This window comes from Homo sapiens, chromosome 4 (assembly GCF_000001405.40).
Source record: "Homo sapiens chromosome 4, GRCh38.p14 Primary Assembly".
Lineage (NCBI taxonomy): Eukaryota > Metazoa > Chordata > Mammalia > Primates > Hominidae > Homo > Homo sapiens.
In genome coordinates this window covers 84,262,872-84,288,882 of record NC_000004.12, presented here as the reverse complement: position 1 = coordinate 84,288,882, position 26,011 = coordinate 84,262,872, and the positions used below count along the sequence as shown (strand labels likewise).

The following is a 26,011-nucleotide window of genomic DNA, read 5'->3' as shown; positions in this document are numbered from 1 at the left end:
GAGCCACCACACCTGGCCATGCAACTTTTCTTAATGTTGTGTTCTTACAGACAACTAGAAGACAATGATGATTGTTTGAAGTTTATAATATATCGGTATTGTAAAAGCAACATTTTTTGTTCATGAGACAAGGTGTTCACCAGAAATCTGGGGTTTAGGAGAAACTACTAAGTGAGTGAAGTTGTAGTTGGACAAAACAAGAAATGCCAGAACAGAAATTAGAACCATGAGGCATTTTATTAATTATCGTGGAGACCAGTCACACAATTTACAACTTTTGTTTCCACCTGTTTTATGAGGTCCACTTGGTCCAGAGCTGAGTTCAAGTCCTGAATATCCTTGTTAATTTTCTGTCAATTGATCTGTCTAATATTGAAAGTGGGGCATTAAAGTCTCCCACTATTATTGTTTGGGAGTCTAAGTCTCTTTGTAGCTCTCTAAGAACTTGCTTTATGAATCTGGGTGCTCCTGTATTGGGTGCATATATATTTAGGATAGTTAGCTCTTCTTGTTGCATTGATCCCTTTACCATTATGTCATGCCCTTCTTTGTCTTTTTTGATCTTTGTTGGTTTAAAATCTGTTTTATCAGAGACTAGGTTTACAACCCTTGCTTTTTTCTTGGCTTTCCATTTGCTTGATGAACATTCCTCCAACCCTTTATTTTGAGCCTATGTGTGTCTTTGCATGTGAGATTGGTCTCCTGAATACAGCACACTGATGGGTCTTGACTCTTTATCCAATTTGCCAATGTGTGTCTTTTAATTGGGGTATTTAGCCCATTTACATTTCAGATTAATATTATTATGTATGAATTTGATCCTGTCATTATAATGCTAGCTGGTTATTTTGCCTGTTAGTTGATGCAGTTTCTTCATAGTATTGATGGTCTTTACAATTTGGTATGTTTGTTTCAGTGGCTGGTACCAGTTTTCCCTTTCCATATTTAGTGCTTCCTTTAGGAGCTCTTGTAAGGCAGGCCTGGTGATGACATAATCTCTCAGCATTTGCTTGTCTGTAAAGGATTTTATTTCTCCTTCACTTATGAAGCTTAGTTGGGCTGGATATGAAATTCTGGGTTGAAAACTCTTTTTTTTTAAGTGTCGAATATTGGCTCCTACTCTCTTCTGTCTTGTAGGGTTTCTGCAGAGCGATCCACTGTTAGTCTGATGGGCTTCCTTTTGTGGGTAACCCGACCTTTCTCTCTGGCTGCCCTTAACATTTTTTTCCTTCATTTCAACCTTGGTGAATCTGACAATTATGTGTCTTTGGGTTGCTCTTCTTGAGGAGTATCTTTGTGGTGTTCTCTGTATTTCCTGAATTTGAATGTTGGTCTGTCTACCGAGGTTGGGGACGTTCTCCCAGATAATATCCTGAAGAGTGTTTTTCACCTTGGTTCCATTCTCCCCGTCACTTTCAGGTACACCAATCAAATGTAGGTTTGGTCTTTTCACATAGTCCCATATTTCTTGGAGGCTTTGTTCATTCCTTTTCATTCTTATTTCTCTAATCTTGTCTTCATGCTTTATTTCATTAAGTTGATCTTCAATCTCTGACATCTTTTCTTCTGCTTGATTAATTTGGCTATTGATACTTGTGTATGCTCTATGAAGTTCTTGTGCTGTGTTTTTCAGCTCCATCAGGTCATTTATATTCTTCTCTAAACTGGTTATTCTAGTTAGCAATTCTTCTAACATTTTTTTCAGGTTTTTAGCTTCCTTACATTGGGTTAGAACATGCTCCTTTAGCTCAAAGGAGTTCGTTATTATCCACCTTCTGAAGCCTGTCAATTCACGAGACACATTATCCATCTAGTTTTGTTTCCTTTCTGGTGAGTAGTTGTGATTTTTTGGAGGAGAGGAGGCTTTCTGGTTTTTGGAATTTTCAGCCTTTTTGTGCTGGCTTTTCCTCATCTTCATGGATTTATCTACCTTTGATCTTTGATGTTGGTTACCTTCAGATGGGGTTTTTGTGTGGATGTCCTTTTTCTTGATATTGATGCTATTCTTTTCTGTTTGTTAGTTTTCCTTCTAACAGTCAGGCCCCTCTGCTGCAGGTCTGCTGGAGTTTGCTGGAGGTTCACTCCAGACCCTATTTGCCTGGGTATCACCAGTGGAGGCTGCAGAACAGCAAAGATTGCTGCCTATTCCTTCCTCTGGAAGCTTCTTCCTAGAGAGTCACCTGCCAGATGCCAGCCAGAGCTCCCCGAAATGAGGTATCTGTCAACTGCTGCTAGGAGGTGTCTCCCAGTCAGGAGGCACAGGGGTCAGGGATCCACTTGAGGAGGCAGTCTGTCCCTTAGCAGAGCTCGAGCACTGTGCTAGGAGGTCCGCTGCTGTCTTCAGAGCTGGAAGACAGGAATGTTTAAGTCTGCTGAAGCTGTGCCCACAGCTGCCCCTTCCCCCAGGTGCTCTGTCTCAGGGAGATGGGAGTTTAATCTATAACTCCCTGACTGGAGCTGCTGATTTTCTTTCAGAGATGCCCTGCCCAGAGAGGAGGAATCTAGAGAGGCAGTCTGTCTACAGTGTCTTTGCCCAGCTGCCATTGGTTCCACCCATTTGAACTTCCTGGCGGCTTTGTTTACACTTTTAGGGGAAACCCACATACTCAGGCCTCAATAATGGCAGACGCCCCTTCCCCCACCAAGATCCAGCATTCCAGGTCAACTTCAGACTGCTGTGCTGGCAGTGAGAATTTCAAGCCAGTGGATCTTAGCCTGCTGGGCTGCATGGGGGTGGGATCCGCTGAGCTAGACCAGTTGGCTCCCTGGCTTCAGCAACGTTTCCAGGGGAATGAACAGTTCTGTCTAGCTGGCGTTCAGGTGCCACTGGGGTATGAAAAAAACTCTTGCAGCTAGCTCAGTGTCTGCCCAAACGGCCATGCAGTTTTGTGTTTGAAACCCAGGGCCCTAGTGGCATAGGCACCCAAGGTAATCTCTTGGTCCACAGGTTGTGAAGACCATGGGAAAAGTGTAGTGTCTGGGCTGGAGTGCACCGTTCCTTACAGCACAGTCCCTTGTGGCTTCCCTTGGCTCAGGGAGGGCATTCCCTGACCCCTTGCCCTTCCTGGGTGAAGTAACACCCCACCCTGCCTTGGCTCAGCCTCCATGGGCTGTACCCACTGTCTAACCAGTCCCAATGAGATGAGCCAGGTACCTCAGTTGGAAATGCAGAAATCACCTGCCCTCTGCATTGATCTTGCTGGGAGCTGCAGACCATAGCTGTTCCTATATGGCCATCTGGCCAGCCACTGATTATTGGCAATTTTGTGTATTGGGAATATGAAGTGTTGGAGTTTTATTTGATGGAGTGTGAGTAGAGACATCTTTGGAGTATTTGACATGATACAAGAGTTTCAGGTTTTGAAACTCAATTGTAATTCAGTACATAGTCATTCCCCCAACTCAGCATAGGAATGGGTGCCTAGAGAGAAGAAAGAGAGACATCACAAAACATTGCTTCTTTTATAGAATTATTTGAGGGAGGGCATTGCCTAATAGAGCGATTTGCTCAGTTTTGTAATTATCCATGGTATTTATAGAACTCACATAAAGCAATCTAATGTTACAGAAGTAATATTACACTGGACTTAGATGGACTAGAGAGAGCTCAAAGTGATTTGGATGATGCCATTGTCCAAGTGAGTGAATTTATTTCCAATAGCAACAGAGTACAATACAGAACTTGAAGTAAAGCATGTTTATTTCTAGAAAATGTGTTTATTCTCTTATGAGCTGTTTCTGTCTCTGATTAAGAGACTGTTATAGTAAGCTGAGAAGACTCAGGTCAGACTCCCAGGAGCTCAGGCAATAACTCAATCAGAAACAGGTAAGAGCTGAATTGGAGGGTACTGTCAATCACTGCTCAGTTAGGTCAAACTGATCATGACTGTTGGCATGGCTTCACCTGGCAAACATTTAGAGTACTAAGAGAAGGAAAAAATAGACACTCATACACCTATGTTCTCAAAGTAAAATTCATTTTGGCTACTTGCCTAAGACCCCCTGGAGAATCCCAACAGAGATGAGACTCAGCTTTACTAGTTAGAAAGATAGACTTCTGCTCAATGTTCCAGCAGTTCTACATGGTTGCTTCCAGCACCAATTTATTTGATAACAAACTTAGTTACCAAGCACTACACTTCCTCTCTCTTGCCTAACCCAGGGAAAAATTCAATTGGTTTTCAATTACTCCTTTTTGACTGAATTTGTCCAAGAAAATATCTTTACCCTTCAGTGAGCAGGAGGAAGAGAGAATTTGGGGATGAGGGATGGAGAGGAGTTGAAAATCATGGCAAGAAGAGGCCCACAGGTGGAAATTATGTGCGACTATTACCTGAGCTCCTGCTAGTCATTACATACATGGCTTCTGGGATCAGCTGGCCTGTCTAGTTGTGGTTCCAACACAAGAATGCACTAGAAAATGCATTCTTAGGAAAGTATTTCACAATCAAATCATATTTTGACATTTAGAGTAGCCCAATTAAACAGTAACTATTGTTTTCTTTTTTATGATTTTTGTCTTCCAGTTTCTAATAATTTTATTTATTCCTTTCTAGGTATTCAGTGACATCTTTCTAAATTGTTTAAAATGAGAAGCATTGCACACTGAGAGTCAGGATCCAAGTGTCTTTGACTGAGCCAACTCAGCTCTGCTATTAACTTATGGTGTGATCGCAGGCAAGTCACTTATTTTTCCTGATATTTAAAACAAAGAAATTGAACAAGGTAGTCTGTAAGGCATCATACCACTCTAATAGCCTGGGTATCCCTGGTGGAACTGCAGCATGCTGCCTCTCTCTGGGGTCAGGATTCAGCCATAGCCCCTGCTGTCAGTGAGGTCTTCTCCACTCTTAGATAGATTCTGCTCTTCGGAAAGATTTTTACCCAACTATTTTTGTCCTATTCATTAATTAACAATATAAATATATACTTTTAAATTAACAACTCCTCCAAAAACAGTGAACCATTAATAATAAAATTTTATAATCATCATAAAACCGTCCAGGGCATGGAAGATGGTGTAATAATTCACACCTAATTGCTTTCAACCTCGGGCCCACAAACACACTAGTTAGAGAAATGAATTCAGATACTGTAATTCATGCCAGGTCATGTTTTATTATTTAATTCATCCTCGATACTTGGAAAAAAAAAGACTTTGATGTTCAAACACTCCACAAACTCACCATGCCACCAACTCCATGGGGATCTAGAGAAATTCCTCATTTATCTATATCATGAGCCCCTTGGATGGAAATTCAACCTGAATCTTGGTGTTTTCTATAGCACACAGATTATTTTACTTAATAATAGAAATAACTTACATAATATAAACAATTACCTTAAGTACAAGATTAGAATACTGAGAAAATTCTTTGTTAAAGAAAAAAAGAGCAAAGGATGAGCAGTCCACAGTATGAGTAAAAATAGCAATTTAAAATCAAACTGTAGAACGATAGCAACGTATTTAACAGCACAAACTCTGGAGTCAGAGTACCTGTGTTTAAATCTCAGCTCCACCACTTACTTCTTGCATTTGACTCTTAGTAAGTTAATGTCTCTGAGCTCCAATTTCCTTATCTGTACAAAGGAAATGATAATAGTACCAGGTTGTTAGGAAGATTATATAAGTTGATATAAGTGTTTGGAAGAATGTCCAGTACTTAGTAAGTGAAGCATATAAGTTATTAGTAGTGTATTAGAAATCATGGCATCCTTCCTTAAAGGATTGTAAAGGTATGTGTGTGCTTCATGTGTATGGTAGCCTAGGTACTTATACATCGTCTACCCTGAGGACTGTTTGCAAATTTAACAGAGTTAATTAATCGAGGAGGGTTTAAGATACACTGAGGATTTTAGTATGAGTGAGGAAAAGAAGGAAGAATGGGGAAAAATTTTGTGTATTTTAATAATAAGTTAGCAGCATTCAAATGGATTTTTTAAAAAAAACTCAACAATTAGGCTTTTTCTTCTTGGATTGTTAGTGTGACATAAAGATTTCTGTTCATAAATCTCTATTAGAGATACACAGTGATTATTTTAATAAAAGAATACATTATGCAAGGAAAGAGAGACCCTTATACTGATTTTTTCTTGGGTACAAATGCATGGTTTGCTGTGTGAATGTCTAAACAGTGTTGCTGCACCTCTGGAGTGTTTTTCTGCCTCACAGTAACTAGGGCTGTCAGCTGAACCAAGACCCATAATGATTGAGAGCTTATCAAAACCAAAACGTTACATACATTTCTATGGGATTAGGTGGCCAACTTCTTTAGCAAATAATGAAAACTCAGAAAGGGCATCTGCTTGGATTTTGTATCACAAACTCTACATTTCTCTCTCAGTCCATCAGCTATTCAGGGTCAATTAATGTGTGTTTACCTTGCTTAACAGAAACTGTTCTCAGGCAAGAGACACTGCTTGCTTTCAACATGAAGTGTAAATCAGAGGCTGCGATGAACCATACAAAGAAAGCAACTCAATAATACTATCTAATGGAAAGCTCAAGGTTCTAATCCCAGCTGTCTTGCAGAAGGGCATTTAATTGTTCTAACTGTGATTTCCTCATCTGAAAAATAGAGATTGGATTAGATGACCTCTAATATTGGTTCAAAATAGTCTGTGTATTTTATTAGTTTCAGGAATCTCAAAGTGGATTTGTTAACAAGGATGTTTTAACTTAAGATGTTTGTGGATTTGGGGATATGTCTAGTACCCCTGCTTTTTTATATACTAATGGTGTCTAATTATTTTGTATATTAATTAAATATTTTTGAAGCAATTATTATCTTTCAGGCAGTCCATTACACAGTGGAAATATAACAGTTAAAGAAAAGTGATAAATACCCTGCTCTCAAAAAAAAAAGATGATCATTCATTTTTCCAATGAAAAGATACCAATCTGGGGAGTAAATTGAATGTATATATAAACTTTTGGGCTAATAGAGAAGAAAGCCAGTTGTCTATTCATGGTATTTATGCATTTATGATAACATTTGCAGTCCATCATATAAATAATGCTAATGTGGAAATAATATTTTATTCACTCTCACATTTCATAAAGCAATATTGGTCATGCTCTTTAGAAACATATTTGCCATTGGTGTCTTTGCCATCATCAGAGCCACTTTAATAGTTGTTATCACAGTTTGCCAGAGCATGTAATTTTTTCTCTCATCTAAATTGTTTGATTTACGTACTTTTTGAAGTGCATGTATATTATATGCTCCCCCTGGAAATTCTGTACTAAGCCACAGTTTCATAAACATGATCTCTGCATGCAAGGAAGTAATTTACTGTGCGCGTGTGTGTGTGCATGTGTGTGTGTTTGTGTGTGTGTGTGTTTAGCAGTTCTTAAAAAGGCTTATTTGCAGCAAGATCCAACACTTGCATTTGGGAGGTCATCCCCCAAGAACAGTGACAAACTGTGCTACAATTTTTAATTTTTTTAAAAAAGTTTCTTATTAATTCAGTTAGATATCCTCTATGAACTAGCATTGATTAAAGTAGATATGAGGTAAAGCAATTTCTTTATAAAAATAATCAGTTCTTCAAAAAAAGTTATTGAAATAATTCCTTCTGAGATACTCTAAAGAGATTCTTAAATAAGGTGATTCTTCCCCTTTTTTGAGAAGAACATATATGAAGCTTTGAGAGGGCACACATTCCCCAGGCTGTATCTGCAGATGAGAGCATGGGATGGGTGATAATAGATAAATCATTTTTATATTCTGTGTAAATCCTGACCTTAGAACTATTGGTCACTGGACACATTCACCTTATTGTAATAGCAGACATTTTAATAATACATCATACAACTTTTTTTTTTCTTTTCTTTTTCTTTTTTTGAGACAGTCTTGCTCTGTTGCCCAGGCTAGAGTGCAGTGGTGCAATCTCAGCTCATTGCAACCTCCGCCTCCCAGGTTCAAGCAATACTCGTGTCTCAGCCTCCCGAGTAGCTGGGATTACAGGCATGCACTACCACACCCAGCTAATTTTTGTATTTTTAGTAGAGACAGGGTTCCACCATGTTGGCCAGGCTGGTCTTGAACTCCTGACCTCAGGTGATCCACCCACCTCGACCTCCCAAAGTGCCAGGCTTTCAGGTGTGAGCCACCACACTTGGCCATAAAACTTTTCTTAATGTTGTATTCTCACAGACAATTAGAAGACAATGAGGATTGTTTGAAGTTTATGATATAGCTGTATTGTAAAAGCAACATTTTTTGTTTGTGAGAAAAGATGCTCACCAGAAATATGAGGCTTAGGAAAAACTACTACTAAGTGACTGAAATTATAGCTGCACAAAACAAGAAATGCCAGGGCAGAAATTAGAACCATGAGGCATTTTATTAATTATTGTGGAGACCAGTCACACAATTTACAACTTTTGTTTCCACCTGTTTTATGAGGTTCATTTCTGCCAGAATAAGAGTGATTTTTCCCAGGCAAAAGGCCTCTAATTGGTTGTAAATGAATCAATACCCATCAGTTTCACAAAAAAAGCATCCTAATCAGATTGGTTATCAATGGATTCTATCTTGCTGAATCTTTGTCTCCTTTAGCTTTGGAAGGAGACTAAACATTTTTAGCCAAACTGCGGTCTAGTCTGAAGCACTGCAATGCTTTATTGATCTGGATAGAGAAGAAAGTGCTCAGAGGAGACAAATTGGCCAAATATCTAAAGCACTGTTAAAAAGTTAGCTGATTTTAATGAAAATCTTCTAAACTATACACATACTTCCTTATCAAACAGAGTTTCTCAAAAATAAATGAATCTTTTTGTTGGGTCAGGATCACTATTTGATGGGCATCTATTACTGAAATAGCCCTGTCCCTGACTGGCTGATTTGGGTATTCTCATCTCATGCCATGGTACCAGCTGTCCCTTCTTACTGTAAGGGCATCTAGCAAAATTCCTCAGCTCTCTTGTTATCTGTGATCTGCTGGCAATTGTGGTGCTGTCATGTGCCAGGGAGAGTTTAATAATCATGCTTGGGAAGCAGTACTGGGGCAGAATTTTTTATCCTCACTGAGCTGCTTAGTTGCTGAGTCACTCTGAGCCAGTTTCTTTACTTCTTCAAGCCTCAGCGTCCTCATCTAAAAACATTAGGAATAATAATGCCTACTCTTCAGAGTTATAGTAAAGCTTAAATCAGATAAAAATAAGTTCTGAGGTCAGTATCTGGCATATAGTATTCTATTTCCATCTAAATGTTCCCAAGCTCCCCCTAATCAACAATAGTAAATGAATAAGCACTGTTTTCTCTCTCTTCTTGCAGAGGAAAAACTTTTTGGATAGCTACTTTTCAGTTCTTTTGATATGGCAAGCTGTAGATGAAGCTTTGGGGAGGGATGGTGAACAAGGCTGGCCTAGTTCCTGCCCTCATGGAGATTAGTGAGTCTATTATAGAAAACCGACATGAAACAAGTAATGACAGGGTACTGTGACCACATGTAAAGAGGAAACCTGTCTCGATATTGAAGGTCAGGAGAAACCTCCATGAGGATACCATCCAAGATGGGGCCAGAAGGATGACTAGGAGTGTGCTAGAAGGAGGGGCAGGAAAGTGTGCCAGACTGAAGGACAGACACACTTGTGTGAGGGCCTTGCAGTGGAAGACATGGTATATTTAAGGGCTTGGAATTTTAGGTGGGAGGAAGCAGGGATAAGATGAGGGTTGGGAGCTGGGATGAGGCAGGTGTGGTACACAGTCTAGACCTTGGGCACAAGGACAAGTTTTGGAACACATTCTAAGAGAGATGAGGGCCATGAATGGGCTTAAGCAAGGATGATAATCCAGAGGTTTGCAACCATTGGTAGAATATTGAAATCTTTCTATACTGCTGGATAAATAGCTAGACCCTGAGCCTCCTACTCCTTAACCCTTTCCCAAACCTTCCCTGCTCCTAGCTCCGCCAGAGGCCGGCAGGACCTTCTTGTATCTGTTTCAATTGTTCTGTGGCCAATACCACCTAGATTGCTAAATATATTAAATGCTATATCTGGCTTTAAGTAAGATTTCACCTCCTTATGTTTCTCCATTACTTATGCATTTACAGTTGTGTTCAGGATTGTTAAAGATGTCAGAAAGTATTATAATTTAATGCAGTTAAAATATTTGAATGGCCTTACAGCCATTTTTCTACCTCCTTTTTCCTAACCCACATTGTGAATTGAAGTTAACATGGAGTTCTATTGATTCTACTTCTGAAATGTCTCTTAAATGAATCCCTTTCTTATTATTACTGAGTGCATTCAGTCCCTTTCCTCTCTTCCTGTATTACTTTAATAATCCAGCAGCCCTTGCCTGGGCTCCATGTTTTTCTTCTCTCCCTGGCCCAAACCATTCTCTGCATGCTGTTGGTGTCCGGAACAGTGTCTAACACAAGAGTTGGTACTCTATAAATGTTTTTTGAATGAATGAATGAATGAATATGTGAACTGAGACCATGAACAAATGACACATACACAAATGGATACAAGTGGAAAAGCACAGCCAATTATTTGACATTAGTGCTTCCCAAAGTGTGACTTTGGAAGGTGCATGGACAAACATTTTTTATTTTATTAGTTATTCATATATTTTAACATGCATAAGAAAAATATTGATAAATACACTAAACTCATGTTTTATTGTTTAGAACAATGCTAAGTGAAAAATGGAGTCAGGTTAAAATTGATTGGAACATATTAAATAAAAAATAGTATAGTACCATTCAGATATAGCAAAAATGATGTAGATGTTACGCAATCACTGAAGTTTGAAAAAAAACTGGTCAACACAATATCTTGCGATGAAGTTTACTGATATTTTTGCCCCTTCCCTGAAGTAGAACTGACTTGGGAGAATTGTTAGGGTCAAGCAAGATCATGAATACATGGTTTACAGATTCTGATGGGCACTAGGGCTTCCCCATATAAGTCATGTTTAAAAAAATAACAAGAAAAAAAAAAGATAGCTTAGAGAATATATGCTACACAAGACTTTTGGGGTATAGTAAACAGTCTCAGGTAATTTCAACAAAGTTGAAAAACCTTTCCACAATCTGAGAAATATAAAACAGATGGAATTGTATCCCAAAAAGCTGAGTGCAGGGTGAAGTCATGGAAAGAGGATGGATTTTGTAGTTAGATGTGAGTTCAGACACTACCCTGTCTGCCCTGTCTGTCATTTATTTGCTGCTTGACCTTGGGCAAATACTTATGCTTCTTTGAGTTTCTTCACTAGTTAAATGTTTTCAGCAACCTGAATGGAATTGAAGACCATTATTCTAAGTGAAGTAACTCAGGAATGGAAAACCAAACATCATATGTTCTCACTCATAAGTGGAAGCTAAGCTATGAGGACACAAAGGCATAAGAATGATATAATGAACTTTGAGGATTCAGGGGAAAGGGTGGGAGGGGAGTGAGGGATAAAAGACTACACATTCGGTACAGTGTACACTGCTCGGGTGATGGCTGAACCTAAATCTCAGAAATCACCACAAAAGAACTTATTCATGTAACCAAACACTACTTGTTCCCCAAAAACCTATTGAAATAAATAAATAAATAAAGGCAAAGTAATTATGGCATTGGCAGGAATACAAGAATTAACATAGATACACAGGTTAGCACAGTTTTTGGCTTATAGTTGGCATTTCATAAATGCAGCCTCTCATTTCAACCCTCTTAAATATAATCTATTTAAAAATAAAATAAGAGTAAAAATAAAGTTAAATAAAACCAGATTTTGATAGCATCATGTTTTTTTCTCTCTAAAAAACAAAAACAAAAACAATTAGAAAAATCCTGATGGAAGAAAAGTAATTTTCAATAGCACTGAACTATTCCCCTGAGCCTTTAAAAACTCTCATATTGAAATGAATGAATATGCAAGTGTCACTTATTGATGGCCTCCTCCCATAGGCAGTGAATTGCTTTGAAATCATGTGGAGGTAATTGTAAAAGGAAGTTGTATGCATACAATTACTTCTCTGGTGCAATAAAGATCATAAATCAGTTCACAAGCAATTCATCTGCAACTTCTTCAGTTTCACTGATTTCATAGATTACAACCAAAAATAAGCTGAGAATGAAGAATCAAAAGGCAATGGAGAGACTCTGAGCGTCTAATCTTACATGCAACTCTCTTTGTGATGGAGCCTGGATGAGGTTGAGAGAAGGCAGTAACAATTTTAGGAGGCCTAGTATGACACCAGCTCTTCCTGGCTCTTCCTTGTTTCTTGAGAAGACAGATTTGATTTCACTGACGGAAGCTGTTCCTTACCTATTTGCCATGCCTCCCACTGTATTCCTGTTGGCTCAGGGTGGTCTAGCAACTATAACCACTGATACTTGGGCTGGGGACTGGATGTAATTATTCTGACCTTTAGAAGCAACTCTAGCTTGAAAGGGTTAGAATATAACATTATGAAAACCCCTCAGAGATTTGTGGGTAAGAATTTTGTCTATAATGACAAGCTCCTCTGGTTTGTCTCAAAGAGAGTAACTAGAAGTAGAAAGGTATCTTCCTTTATTTACCTTTGAATTCTTAAGTGGCAATATAACACCTCACTTTGTCCTTAGAAGGATCCAACTGCTGAAAAGTCTTCCAGATACTTCCTTCTCAGTGGTGCCTTTAGACAGTCATGGCAGGAATATTGATCGGGAATAGCCTAATGAAATATTAGTGCCAGTGAATGTGTTGCAGAAAGAGCAAATCCCGTCTGTGAGAGTTATATTGGTGAAGAATTGGGCCCATTAGGGGCCTTGTTGAGTATTCAGCAGAGACAATTCTTGCTTTATAAAATATGCTTTGGTTTGCCTTATGGAAAATTTATTGTTCATTCATTTGATGTACTCCTTTAAGAGGTCAACTTTGACTTGCAGTGCTCTCAGAATTTATTCTTCACTCCATTGTTCCTTGCAAACCATCCTTATTGAATTTCTTTATGCATTTGAGTTGTCAAATAGCCAGTGCACTCTCTAAACTGCTCTATGCAATTAATAGATATTTTTTTGATTGGGGCAGGATGAAAATCAGGGTTAGTACATATAAGGCAAATTAATTAGCCTATGGTGTTTTCAGAAATAGAACTTGCTAAAGCCAGTGTTCCCATACCTGTATAGGTCAACTAACTGGGGAATTGTTGAATCATCAGGACTATACTACTATGAAAATAACGGATGTCCATGAAAATGTTCAGGCTCTGCTCTTTTTGTGGTGGGACTGAGAGCTTTTTGGTAGGAGTGCATTTCAGTAACTAGGAAACATATAAGAAGGAAAGAGATCTTTGATGCCATGTCATAATTAGGCTCTATTTGATAATCTGTGGCATGGCTAGTCGATATATTAATTTTAATTCTAATGATAAAACCAGATTATTTTAGCCACATGGTTACCTGAAATAGCCTAGAAATCCTTGAAAAAACATGCCATTCCACAGCATCCAAAACTGACCTTAGGAAAAATTGCGGTTTAATGTTGGTTCCTTCACCTTAAAATAGGGATAGCTGTTAATACTGTGGTTCAGAATGAGTTTTTCCATTGATTCTATGTGATGGCATATGATTAGTAGTTCTTATTTTCCAGCTGAAGTACCTGATTCAAGTAAAATGAGTTAGAGTTACCCAAACTAAGGATCCAATACAGAAGTATAGATAAAAGGTTCTACTTTTAGGTTAGTTAATAAGGCTTTTCTACAATCTTGGCCTGGTTGACTTTTCAATTTGATTATGTTCTTTCCCCCATTTTTACTGTGCCAAAATATTTCTAGTTCCCCAAATTTATCAAGTCATTTTGCTATATACATTCTTTTTGCCTAGAATATTTTGTCTGTCTTCTCCTTCAGTGTTCCCAAACCAATGCCTATATGAAACAATTCTTTTTATTATTATTAATTTTGTTTTATTGTGGTAAGACTATAGCATGAGATATATTATCTTAAAATTCTAAATGTACAATACAGTATTGTTGACTATAGGTACAATGTTGTATAGCAGATCTCTAGAACTTATTTATTTTGTTTACATAAAATGATTCTTGACCATCTCTCAATCTCCAGTACAACTGACCATTTTTTCTTTGTAAACCCGTTGTAGCCAGCTCTAATCTCTCAGCATAATTACAATACAACTGTACATATTGATTATATATCTGTCTCCTTTCACAAATTATTGAATCTTGAGGCCAGAGATTATATATAATTTATCTTTTTATTCTCAGCACTTATACATAGCCTGACATAATGAATAAAAAAATGAATGAGTGAATGAATAAATAAAATCCAATGAGTGAACATTAGCCTGATAATTCAAAGCAGAAACAGCAAACGTATGACCCAAGTGGTACACTCTCCCTTTTTGTATGGAGAACAGACTTTTCCCATTAGCAAAGGTCTAATTGGATTAGGCCACTGAGTCTACATCTAGGCAGTCTAAGCCTTCTGAACTTAGCTTTTTGCTAGTACAGTCATAATATCTTGTGAAGTTATTTAGAACAGTGGTATCTTAACATTGTAAAATTATAATAAGGAGTAACTCTATTAGGAAAAATAACTGGAGGGGGGGGCACATCTTTGATGGATAGCTCTGTGTACCACTGTATGCTACATGTGGAGGCTGACCCATATGGACTGCATCAGTGGGCTCTTATGTCCTCTGAATTCCAATTGGGTTTGGCAGGAAACCTGGAGGATAGGAGAGAGTGAGGCCAGGGTACTTTTTTCCCTGGCTTATCTGGGTCCCTTACCAAAGGCCACAAGTCCTGTTAGATGGCCCTCTCTGTAACTCTGTCTTTGGTTTGGGTGTCCACTCCCTCCTTATGCCCCTCCCTGCCATTACTTGTCCTGTATGCCCTGTCTCTTGTTGCTTTTACTATATTTCGGTGCTCCAAACTTTTGTCAATTGTTCCTATATGAAACTTGCCTTGGTTTATTCAATCTGAGGATACCTTCTTTTTGTTGCTGACAACCTGACTGATATCCCTCCAATACATGCATAATTTTTAATGCTATAGATATAGTTATATCTATATCATTATATTAGATATATACATATGTGTGTATATATATACATATATATATACACACACATATATATATATGTTCTAGTTGCCATCCACATGTGAGATACTAGTAAAACTCAATTTTTCTTAGTTTTTGGAGGGGATGAAGTTTATTTTCGTCCTTTTTTAAAATATATTTTGGGTTCACAGGTACACATGCAGGTTTATTATATAGGTAAATTGCATGTCATGGAGATTTGGTGTGCAGATAATTTCATCACCCAGATAATAAACATTGTACCTGACAGAGAGTTTTTTGATTCTTTCCCTCATCCCGCCTGCCACCCTCAAGCAAGCCCCAGTTTCTGTTGTTCCCTTCTTTGTGTCCATGTGAACTCAATATTTAGCTCCCACTTAAGCATCTTCCTTCTATAGCCTAGTTGATCATTTCGTATTCTCATACTTTGGAAACCACTGATTTAGAAATGAATTATCCAAGTCTTCCTATCAGGTTTTATAGAATAAGGCTCTGTTCAGTGTGGTTTTGAAGGCACAAGAGCAGGTACTGGTTTCTGCAGGATTTATGTACTTACAGAAAAAACTACACATGTGGAGTGTGCATACTACTATTGACTTACCCATTTCTCTCAGGACCTCGGGGCCAATGCAGCCATTGCTGGACACAGAATATTAGCATCATTCAGGCTCCCAGGCAGCCAGCAAAGTGGACCTGGAGAATATTAGGATGGGAACAAATAATGCTTGAATTGCAGTCTCTCATTTCCAAGAAATTTGTTTTTAACTAATGAATGAAGGTATCACAAACCTTTGACTCTGAGACTTTTAATTCTTCATTCTTTACTGAAGAATGTTTCTAGCCCCCTTCCCCAACCCAAATCAAAATCCATGTTCTAGCGATGCCAATGGATAGAATTTGCAAGCAGTCTAACTCTGACTTAGGCTTAATTGTATTTTAAAAAGGAATCCTCTCTACACAGGATTAGAAACACTGAACCCTAGTTTTATTATTTTTGTTGTCCTAATTGTGGACATTTTCAGACAAATGTTTACATCTCCTCTGTATTGGTATACTAACCACAGTCATATCTTATGTCAACTAAAACATTTCTTTCAAGGCCCTCATATGCACTACAAATATTATTTCATTAAACAACATTACAAATAGAACTAGTCTCACTAACAACTGTTTTTGTTAATTTTCAGTACAGAACTAAACATTTTATGAATCTTAATAGCTCATAACCTCTTGACTTCCAGAGATAGTAAATTTTTTCCCTTGTGATGAAGACCATATTTCTTATCATTTTGATTAAGATCTTAAATAAATATAATGATGAATGGAAATATTTTGAGAAACAGTCTCCCTTCTCCCTGCATTGTGAGAGTATGCAGTTTATAAACTGCTGTCAATATATATATATTTTTAAAGACAGGGAGAGACAGCCCCATTGTTTAGGCTGTTATGAGTCACCTTGCTCTGACACAGTTTCTAATTTGGGGGAAGGAAAGACGAGAATCCAGAGTAATACAACTTTTTTTTAAAAACTTTTATTATAGGCTCAGGGTTACATGTGCAGGATTGTTACATAGGTAAACTCATGTCATGGGGGTTTGTTGTACAGATTATTTCATCACCCAGGTACTAAGCCTAGTACACAATAGTTATGCTTTCTGATCCTCTCCCTTTTCCCACCCTCTGTCCTCAAGTAGACCCCAGTGTTTAATACACTAGTAAGTAGTGAATTAGCAGAGTAAACTGTGTTGAAATACAAAGTTATTCAATACCAACCCACCTAGTTAAAGCAAAAACGGCTTTGAATTTTGGAGAAAATAAAAAATATTAAAAATGACCAGGTAGAAAGAGAAAATTACTCCTGTTACACACAGAAGGTGTTCTGCCTCTCTCAGATCTTCAGGGGTCCTTGTTTAGGATTTGGCTGTAGGAAATTAAACTCTATGGCAGGCATCTGATCTTTTGGTACCCAATATTAGTATCATAAATACTAATAGAATATTAGATATTGAAGGGATACTTTTAATTCTCATTTTTTTTTTTGTTTGCCAGTGAATAGACTGAGGATTAAAGATTTTGGGGTGAAAAAAATTTTTTAAAAAATAAAGATTTTTGTTGATTTCCTCAAGAAACTGGAGAACTAAGGCTATGGTCCACATCTGCTGACCCCTGATTCAATGTTGTTTCTACTAGACTAATCGCATTCAAAATGTTAAGTTTATGTTTTAAAGATGGAAATATCTGCAAAATTGTTTTATTCTGAATGTTTTAGTTTGCAGCGAGGAAACATGCTTAAATTGTATAAGAACTGAATGGCATAATAAGAACAAAATAAAAACTGTGTGATTCCTAGTCTAGTACTTTTTCCATGACATGAGAATTTGTGCATATGCCATATACTATGTTAGGTACTGAAGACACAAAGACAAACACTGTAAGAGCTTTTCCTTTTGAAAGGAACTCAGTATAGAAAATGTGTGTTTTCCTACATTTCCATATATATATTCAAGCTAAACAACAGAAGCTGAAAGAGCATAAAACACAAAGTGGTACATGACTTTGTAGACAGTAGTAAAATGTCTTATGTGAGAAATACAATTCCAGTTTGTGAGATGTGAGTTCCATGTTGGCAGGGACTGTTTCTGTCTTGTTTATTGCTGCAGCCCCCATTATAGGCCTGGCACACAGTGAGAGCTTAATAAATGTTGAATAAATGAATGAATGAATAACTGCCTGGCTTATAGTAGATGTTCAGTAAATGTTGCATGAATAAATGAATGAATCTACATCTGCCATGTTCTTAGGGATTCTTCAGAATTTGCAATGGTGACCCCTAGAGATGACAGTTCTTAATGATTCTTTTATTTCTGAAGACAAGCTAATTCTGTAGTGTGGTGGCCTCTGGAGGATTTAAAGTTCCTTGAGTTTGAATCCTCTATTGCAGTAGAGATTGGCAAGTAACTATTTTCCCTTTCCTCCTGGGCACATAGCTAGAATACATTTCCCAAATATTTTTAGAGTTGGACACATCCACATGACTGAGTTCTGGCCAATGAAACGTGGACAGCAATGATGCATCCCACTCCAGGTCTAGCACTTAAAAACCTCCTATGCAATCCTCTACTATCTCCTATCTTTCTGCTGTCCAGAACCTTATTATCAGATGGAGAAATACAGTCAAGGCCTCTGAAGCTCTGGGAAAAGAGCTGCAGGATTAAAAAAAAACCTGTGTTCATGAATTAACTAGTGGCAGACCATTTACCAAACACCTTCATTGAATTGATATGTGAATAAGACAAACTTCTGTCTTATTCTAGCTGTGCAACTTTGGATACATTTTAGTCACCTGAGCCTCTGTTTTCCTACTTGAAAATGGGGTTTGTCATGTAACCTGTCTCTTTGTGATATGATGAGATGTATCAATGCAAAACCCTTAACGAAGTACAGGGATCATGATATGCACTTGATACATGTCAGCTATTCTTACATGATGTTTATCATTTCCAGTTTGACAGGGGCCAAAGAACAGTAATTTTTAAAGATGCCTCAAAGACCATTATGTATTTTCTCTCTCTTTATCTTTTGGCTACTGAGGCATATAAATAATCCTCCAGAACCTTGTGTCAATGAGTTTCAAAAATTTTTTAGAACTAGAACTCTTATTATTTTTTCCAGTATGTTCATATATATACATATATAGATGGATGCCCAGTGATATATGTAGAACTGTCCTGGTTGTAGGATATCCCTCACTACACCTGCTTAGCCTTTTCCTGGACCTTGTGCTAGGCACTCTACAGAATCCTTAGGCTAGATGGGACATAATTGGAATACCACTGCCTTGAGTAAATACTATGGAGGAAATGCAATATTATACAATTACCTTAATGCAATGCCCTTATCCATTCTCCCTGCAACTGACAACATTCTCACTAACTCCATATTTCTCCCACTGCCTCTCCCTATGTCTTCAGTGCAGTAGTCTGCATGGCCAGGGGGCTGTGGTAAGTAAGGACTTCTTTCTTTTTCATTTAAAGTAGATTGGTGGCTCTTTTCAATAGACTATTAGAGGAGTAACTGCTTTGTATGATTTACAGGGACTCTGAACTTTGACTCTCTGCTGTATGATATATGGCTGGCTTGAAGCTCTGGGGTCAAGGGTTACAAGTAATGAATTTATGGCTAGATTCTGCCTCCTCTCACTTTAAAAAGAGATGGTATATTTGAAACATTAAGTTATAAATAATTTTCTTCCAGAAATGATTTAAGAGAAGATACACTAGATTGATATTTTCCAAACCCAATCAAACTATTTTTATATATTTGCCATGGCCTCAGGAGTGATTGAAGGGAGGACTTAGGGTGAAGAATAGACCAAAGCTACAACCACTGGTACTCTGTTTTGGATCCGGGGAAAGAAACGACAGAAGGAGGTAAAATTTTTAACTTTCCAGGGCCTAGGTACATGGTTAGGAAATATTGTCAATCTTTAAAAGTATTAGAAGACAGTGATAGGCAGAAATATACAGAATACGACTGTAAGAGAAAATATTTAAAAGAAACTGCTGTCTTGGTGATTGTAATCATCATGACCTATGAGAAGTGAAACTATGCTACTTCACCTAAAATCATTCTATGGTAGACATAAATATCCATGAGAAGACATGAATGACCTCTCAAATTATATTGAAGATGTTAATAGGCTAGTATTAAAGCTTTGCTTTTGAAGCTAAGGCCAAAGCAAGCAGAGTGCCTTTTAGAAGTTTATGGTTCTCAAAATAAGTTTCAAATTAAACTTGGAGTCAGGGATCATTATTCTGTGGACCATGATGCTCAGATGCCCACCTCTTTCCTTTCTTCCTAAGGTCTTGATCAGCTCACTCATTTCTTCCTTGAAAAAAAACAAAACAAAACAGATGATTATCAGTGGTTCCCATTGGTCCTTGGTTAGAATGCCTTAACCACTCACTTGCCCCTATAAATATAATAATGACAATTGGATTGTTTTTACTATGTGCCAGCTGCTGTGCTAGGCACCAGGCATATATTATTTTTATCTAATCCTTACTCTAATCTCATGAGACAGTAGCATTCACTTTACAGATGAATTTGAGTCTCAGAGGGTACCCCAGCTAATAGGAGGAAAGCCAGGATTTGAACTCAATTCTGTTGTAGAGTCTGTGCTCTTCCTAACAATTTACCCTGCCTCTGACAGCCATCCTTGGCAAAGGTGTCACCCGCCTCAACACAGAGTTCCATAAAACTGCATGTCACTTTGTTAAGCCTCTTGAAAGTCCCCTCATTAGAAATGTATTAAATATATAATTGGCATTCTTTACTAAAATGAATTCACCTCAAAGCAGGTTAATGGGACATAGTATAAATTGGTTAAATTAGGTTGCTTTCTTTCTAAGGCTTGACTGAGATCAAAATACTGAAGAAATGGGATGTGTGAAAGGGGATTGTGATTGCAGGAGAGATCTTTATGGCACTTGGGAAAATTTATGTGAATTATGCATCTCAGTGACATGCAGCAGTTGTGAGTGGGAGTGGACTTTGGGTAGCAGGACAGCAGCACAGGGGTCCAGTGGGTAACTATGAAGGGACATCAGAAGGTAGACAGGGGTGCAACAAAAAGGAGATAAGTGGGGCACAAAGACAAACTTCATTCATTTTGTTTTCCCAACTTCCAATCTATTTGCACTGTGTAGAGGGAATGGGTGAGATTGAAGTTTTCTCTGGAGGCCATTTTACTATGTAATTCCCATCCTATCACACAGATAGCCTTGCATAGCTAGATTCTAATTTTTCCCCTTAGTCTACTCATATATCGTTATTCAATGAAGTAATAATGTTAAAAGCAAGACAATCCATAATGCACTTTCAATAAAACTCTGAAAAACAGTCATTGATCTTTCCTTATGTCGGTTACCTACCCCCAGCTCCCTTATTGCTCTCATTGTAGAGGTGGTTAAATGACCAAAGATACTTAATATGTAAGTTATGAAACATTTCCACTTCCTTATTTACCACTTAATGGTCATTAAAAGAGTAGGAACATCATCCTTTTCCAGGTGATGTAAGATGGATCCTGGCTTGAATAGAGTACTCATTTATCAATAATCAATTACTCAGTTAACCATTAAAGATAATAATCATTTCCACCACACTTACAATAAAATGCTGCAAACGTCAATGAATCATTATTTTACCCTAGGGCAGACCTTAAATCAATTTCTTATTACCATTCATTTTACCTTTGCAATTGTGATGGACATTCGAAGGGCCAGAACATTAGGAAATCCTCAAATGGCTGAAGGACAGGGAGGAGGGAAGTCTGGAGGTGCAATTTATGGGAACACTATGAATTTTATTCAGGGATAACATCCAGGTTGTTTTGACCCACAGTTTTGCCTTGGGTTTCAGGTTCATTCCCATGCTTTCTCATTGCCTACAGGAATCTCAATTGTGGATCTCCAATTGCAATTTGTTCAGATCTCCCTGGTTGCTTTTCTACTATGTTTCCCAAATTTAGTTCAATTTTACATTGCATTAAGTGCGTGGGGTGGCAGCTGGAATACTGGTAAAATCATATAGTGGAGGTATAATACAATATCACCCCTCAAATTCTTCCCATTACTCTCAGAATAAAGTAAAAATTCCTTAACAAGACTCACAGGGCCCTGAACAGTCTGGTCCCTACAGATCTCACACATCATTCCCTGTTCCTCTCTTGACTTTAGTGAACTTGGCCTTCTTTTAGTTCCTTGTACTCCATGCAATCTCCCCTGCCACAGAGCATTTGCACATCCTGTTCCTTTAGCACATAAGGCCACCTGCTCCCTGCCCCCATTTTCACCCACTTAACATCCATTCTTCCTTCATTTTTAAGTTCAAGGCTTATTGCTCCTGGGAAGCCTTCCCTGATCTGCCAAAACCCTGTTGTATGCTCTCAGAATACCATTTCCTTTTCAGTCATGTCACATTTCACAGCTTTGGTTTTTACCATGTGATTGACTGGTTGTTTGAGCTATGTAGCCTTTGTCTCCTAACAAACTCTGAGCTCTCTTTGGGTAGGATTGTGTTTAATTGTGCTCATGATTGTATCTCAAGAGCTTAGGATGGTTCCTGGCACATGGTAAGCTTTCAATAAATGTCTAGTAAACAAATCAGGAGTCAATTAAGGAATGATCCAGAAAAACATGATTAAGATCAGAGTGTAGGAGATATTGATAGCAGCTGTGAGGAGAGTTTGCTGGTCCTTATGGAGTGATAATAACATTGTAAGTTCATTTAAAGTTATGAAGTTCCACTGATGCAATTATTTCCTACTTGACTTTTTATTTTCCTAACAAGACCCAAGCTTCTCCCATCCTGGTTCCATTCTCTTTCAAAGATCTCTGTGGCCTGTGTTGTTCCCCACAACCATCTGGCATTTTTTCCTCTATCAATGGAGACATCTACAGTTTCCTTGGATTTATGACTGTTCCACATTTTTGTGCCTTCTGAGGACCTCTCAAACACACCTATGCAACAAATCTCCTTCCCACAATAATCTCTGATATAAATGAGGAGATGGATCTTCAATCAAGTCTACTGGTGAATAAAACATTTCATAGAGCCACTTGAACATGGAGAAGATATGTTAAGGTGATTATCTTGAGTCCCGTTGTTTGAGAAAATGTATCTATTTTCAACACCAGTTTTCACTGCATCTGAGCTCGTGATTTAATTTAGAATTATTAATAACCTACCTCTTCCAACTGACTGAGAAAAGGACAACTTGGATTTGAAAGCAGCTCATGGTTTTATTGAGAGCTTGTCTGGGTAAAACACAGGCTACACATCTTTTATTTTTTATTTTTATTATACTTTAAGTTCTGGGATACACGTGCAGAACATGCAGGTTTCTTACATAGGTATACTTGTGCCATGTGGTTTGCTGCACCCGTCAACCTGTCATCTACATTAGGTATTTCTCCTAATGCTATCCCTCCCCTAGTCCCCCACCCCACAACAGGCCCTGGTGTGTGATGTTCCCCTCCCTGTGTCCATGTGTTCTCATTGTTCAACTCCCACTTATGAGTGAGAACATGCAGTGTTTGGTTTTCTGTTCTTGGCTACACAACTTTTAATAGTCCTGGGACATTTTAGTGTAAGCCTGATAATTATAAATGATTTTTAAAAGAAAGATAATAGTAAAAATAAATAATCACAAAGCACAAAAATGTAATTTCAAGAGAAACTGTAGAGGAGAAAGAAGACAGAAAGACTTAAAAAATTTATATTCGGGGGGTCCATGTGCAGGTTACATGGATATGTCACATAATGTTGAGGTTTGGGCTTCTAGTATACCCATCACTCAAATAGTGAACATTTTACCCAATAGGTAATTTTTTAAACCCCCACTGCTCTCCCATCCTCCCCCATTTTGGGGTGCCCAGTATAATTTTTTCCATTTTTATGTCCATATGTACCCATTATTTAGCTCTCACTTATAATGGGAGAGAATATTTGGTATTTGATTTTCTGTTTCTGAGTTATATCACTTATAATGGACTCCAGCTCCATCCATGTTGCTGCAAAGGACATGATTTCATTTTTTTTGTTGTTTTTGTTTTTTGGCTGCATAGTGATTTCACGATGTGTATATACAACATTCCCTTTGTTGAATCAACCCTTGATGGAAACTTAGGTTGATTCCATGACTTTGCTATTGTGACTAGTGTTGCAATCAACACACAAGTGCAGGTGTCTTTTTTATATAATGATTTCTTTTCCTTTGGGTACATGCCTAGTAGTGGGATTGCTGGGTTGAATAATAGTTCCATTTTTAGTTCTTTGAGAAATCTCCTTACTGTTTTCCATAGAGGTTGTACTACTTTACATTTTCACCAACAGTATATAAGGGTTCTCTTTTTACCACATCCATGCCAGCATGTGTTGGTTTTTGACTTTTTAGTAATAGCCATTCTAACTGGTGTAAGATAATATCTCCTTGTGGTTTTACTTTGCATAACTCTGATGATTAGTGATATTGAGACTTTTTTTGTTTGTTGGTCACTTGTATGTGTTCTTTTGAGAAATGTCTGTTCATGTCCTTTACCCACTTTTTAATGGGATTGTTTCTTTTTCTTGTTGAGTTGTTTGAGTTCATGGTAGAATCTGGATATTAGTCCTTTGTCAGAGGTATAATTTGCAAACATTTTCTCCCATTCTGTAGGTTGTCTGTTTACTCTATTGATTGTTTCTTTTGCTATGCAGTAGCTTGTTTAATTAAGTCTCATTTGTCTATTTTTGATGTTTGTATTGCATTTACTTTTGAGGTGTTAGTCATAAATTATTTGCTAAGACCTATGTCCAGAAGAGTTCTTTTTTTCTAGGTTTTCTTCTATGATGTTTAGAGTTTCAGGTCTTACACTGAAGTCTTTAATCTATTTTGAACTAATTTTTGCATATGGTGAGAGACAGGAATCAGGTTTCATTTTTCTTCATCTGGCTAGCCAATTTTCTCAGAACCATTTATTAAATAGGGTGTCCTTTTCCCATTGTTTATTTTTGTCAAATTTGTCAAAGATCATCAGTTGGTTGTAAGTATGTGGCTTTATTTTTGGATTCTCTATTCTGTTCCATTGATCTATGTGTCTATTTTTGAACTAGTACCATGTTGTCTTAGTTACTAGAGGCTTGTAATATAATTTGAAGTCAGATAATGTGATGCCTCTGGATTTGTTCTTTTTGCTTGGGATTGCTTTGGCTATTTGGGCTCTTTTTTGTTTCATACGAAATTTAGAATTGTTTTCTCTAATTTTTTGAAGAATGATGTTGGTAATTTGATAGGACTTGCATTGAATCTATAGATTGATTTGGGTAGTATGGTCATTTTAACAATATGGACACTTCTTATCCATAAGCATGGGATTTAAAGAAAATTTGTTTCTGTTATCTATGAATTTTTGTCAGTGTTTTGTAGTTCTCCTTGTAGAGGTCTTTTACTTCTTTGGTTAACTGTATTCCTAGGTAATTTTTTCTTTTTGTAGCTATTGTAAATAAAATTGAGTTTTTGATTTGGTTCTCAGCTTGGGCATTATTGGTGTATAGATATGCTACTGACTTTTGTACATTAATTTTGTGTCTTGAAATTTTGTTGAAGTCATTTATCAAGTCTAGAAGTCTTTTGGAGGAGTATTTAGGGCTTTAAGTCATCAGTGAACAGAGCTAATTTTACTTCCTCTTTTCTAATTTGGATGCCTTTTATGTCTTTCTCATGCATGATTACTCTGGCTAGGACTTCTAGTACTATGTTGAATAGGAGTGGTGAGAGTAAAATCCTTATGTTGTTCCAGTTCTTAGAGGGAATGCTTTCAACTCCTTCCTATTCAGTGTAATATTGGCTGTGGGTTTGTCATATATGGCTTTTATTATCTTGAGGTATGTTCTTTCAATATCTAGTTTGTTGAGGGTTTTTATCATGAAGAAAAGTCAGATTTTATCGAGTGTTTTTTCTGTATCTATTGTGATAAGCTTGTGGTTTTTGTTTTTAATTCTGTTAATGTGATTGATATGGTTTGGCTGTGTCCCCACCCAAATCTCATCTTGAATTGTAGTTCTGGCAATCCCCACGTGCCATGGGAGGGATCCAGTAGGAGGTAATTGAATCATGGTGGCAGTTACCACTATGCTGTTCTCATGATAGTGAGTGGGTTCTCATGAGATCTGATGGTTTTATAAAGGGCTTTCCCCCCATTTGCTCTGCACTTGTTTTTTCTGCCGCCATTTGAAGAAAAAAGTGTTTGCTTCCCCTTCCACCATGATTGTAAATTTCCTGTGGCCTCTCCAGCCATGCTGAACTGTGAGTCAATTAAGCCTCTTTGCTTTATATTGCACCCAGTTTCAGATATGTCTGTATTAGCAGCATGATAACTGACTAAAACAGTGATCAATTCCATTTTTTGCAAATGTTGACTTATCCTTGCATTCCTGC

The 26,011-nt window shown here is 37.6% G+C and overlaps 1 long non-coding RNA gene across 1 annotated transcript in view; it reads left to right on the top strand.

Annotated features, from left to right (window-relative positions):
• The window catches only part of LINC02994 (long intergenic non-protein coding RNA 2994), a 331,088-nt gene that overhangs the window by 10,287 nt on the left and 294,790 nt on the right, over positions 1–26,011 (top strand). Inside the window, exons 3-4 of the long non-coding RNA NR_125909.1 lie at positions 2,056–2,214; positions 4,557–4,677. This is a non-coding gene — a long non-coding RNA (long intergenic non-protein coding RNA 2994). The remainder of the gene's footprint in view (positions 1–2,055; positions 2,215–4,556; positions 4,678–26,011) is intronic.